Here is a 2,038-nt window from a genome sequence, read left to right as displayed (position 1 = left end):
TGCATTATATGTGCAGTGCTACTGAACAGTTGTCCACCACATCATTACACTTTAGGAGGGAATTCCTCTCAGGTCAAAAACTGTTATGATTCTTCTAAAAAATAGATTTGTTTTCTTCTTATGGACACTTCAATTGTATTATCCATTTACAAATTAGAGATCTCGCACACAAATCTGTATTAGCTGCTGCAAAGCTCTGGACCAAATGTGAGGTGCTCCTCTAGCAAATGTCCAGGTGTATGCATGGTGTGCTAGGCCCAGATTTCCCCCTAGCACTCATTTTCTCCTCTTTAAGATTTTACTATGCTCCTTCAAAGCCTTTGTACAAGAAGAAGGAGGAAGGGAGGAAATAAATGAATTAATGAAGAAAGAAATTTGTGGTGGGAACTTATGGTTATGATTTCAAGTCAACGCAATATGAAAGAGGGTTTTATTGCTTTGTCTGTGTTTCTAGAACAATCTACAGTGATTCAGGAGGAGCTGCCCTGAGGCAAACATGACAAATGGAAGATTTTTCTCTACTACTTGGCTTCAAGAAGAATGACAGTGTCCAAGTCCCAAGTACACATACAGCTCTGACAAGACCCACTGTGACCATAGAAACAACCTAAAACAGACTATTTTCTTAGGAAATAGGCCAGGTGCATTGGATCCAAATGAACAAGTGAGAGAGGCAGTGAAGAGTGATTTTTCCTTGGTTCCTTTGCAATTTTCTAAGTTCAAATTCTATACTGCATCTTTACACACAAACTTCCAACTTCAGAAAAGTGAGGATAAAGCAGGCATCAGAACAAGGGAGAGTAGGCTCTACCTACCAGCCACAGCAGTGTGATCACCTGATTAGGGCCTCTTTGCTCATGGATACTGAGAGATTTACACACAGCTTTTCAGAACCTGCCCTGTTCATACCTAGGAGAACTTCTGCTCTTCCCTTCTTTACCTTGCTTCACGGGGTTTTCATCATCTGTTGGTCGTTTGTTGTTGTTGTTGTTGTTGTTATTGTTGTTATTGTTTCCATTTAGCATTTAAGTTTGGTGTTTCAGCTTTCCCTGTAGGCAGGATTTGATCTCTTTCTTTCCTGTAAGCGGCTATGTGGACTGCCCTAACATTCCCTCCAGAACAATTTTTCTCTGTAAAGTGCTGAGTCACTGAAGAGAGCTACAGACACTCTGTGAGCAGCCATAGTCAATTGAGAAAACAGAATCATTTTCCAGGATTTAAAAGGTTACTTTTAAGAGAGCAAACTCCGGAGGATCAGGAAAGAGGGTGAGAAGTTCATGCAGGGTAAAAAGCACAAAGTCTATTTCAGAGTTTGAGGAAGATCATATTTCATAAATTAAAATGGCATGAATGGAAAATTCCCTATTTAGCAGCAAGGAGGTAGCTCATCAGCCTTGGGCTGGGACTGCAGAGAGTTCTGTTTGTTCTCATCCTTTCCTACTGGTCTCCACCTTTGAGTTTTTCACCAGTTAAATGGGAAGATGACCTTTGCTCCTCCTGTAATAGAAGGGTACTGAAAGGATGAATGTGTGAAGTTCTGAGCCTCTGAATGCCTTGATTTAGCTCTTGATCTTCAAACAGCTATTGCTTCAAAACCAAAGTCTGGGATTCAAACTTTCCATTTTAAATTTCCCAAAGGTCAATGAATTAAAAGTAAACTTTTTAAGTAAAAGAATGAAGCAGGCTGGACACAGGTGTTCATGCCTGTAATCCCAGAACTTTGGGAGGCCAAGGCAGGAGAATCACCTGCCAGGAGTTCAAGACCAGCCTGGGCAACATAGTGATGAGGCAAGAAAATGGGGTCTGGAGGCAGGGAACAGAAGGCCAATTCACACTTGAGCTATAACAGGAAATATCCTCTCCACAGGGCATACGCCATAAATGACTTTGTAACTTTACTTCATCCTTTTCATTTACATAGGGCGTACCCCAAGTAGAGGGTATTTAAACTCACAAAAACTCTGTAACAGGGCCTTTGAGCCCCTATTCTCAGGCCTACTCCCACACTATGGAGTGTACTTTCATTTTCGATAAATCC

General features: G+C 41.2%; 1 annotated feature.

Moving 5' to 3' along the window:
- Positions 621 to 1,820: an enhancer, noted in NCBI's record as "MED14-independent group 3 enhancer chr2:180208678-180209877 (GRCh37/hg19 assembly coordinates)". NCBI's record gives its function as "activates an origin of replication core promoter dependent on BRD2, BRD4, P300/CBP and CDK7 cofactors, and independent of MED14, by STARR-seq in HCT116 cells {active_cell/tissue: HCT116}" and the evidence as "EXISTENCE:reporter gene assay evidence [ECO:0000049][PMID:35650434]".

Source organism: Homo sapiens, chromosome 2 (genome assembly GCF_000001405.40).
Source record: "Homo sapiens chromosome 2, GRCh38.p14 Primary Assembly".
Taxonomy (NCBI): Eukaryota; Metazoa; Chordata; class Mammalia; order Primates; family Hominidae; genus Homo; species Homo sapiens.
This window is presented reverse-complemented; position numbering and strand designations above follow the sequence as displayed.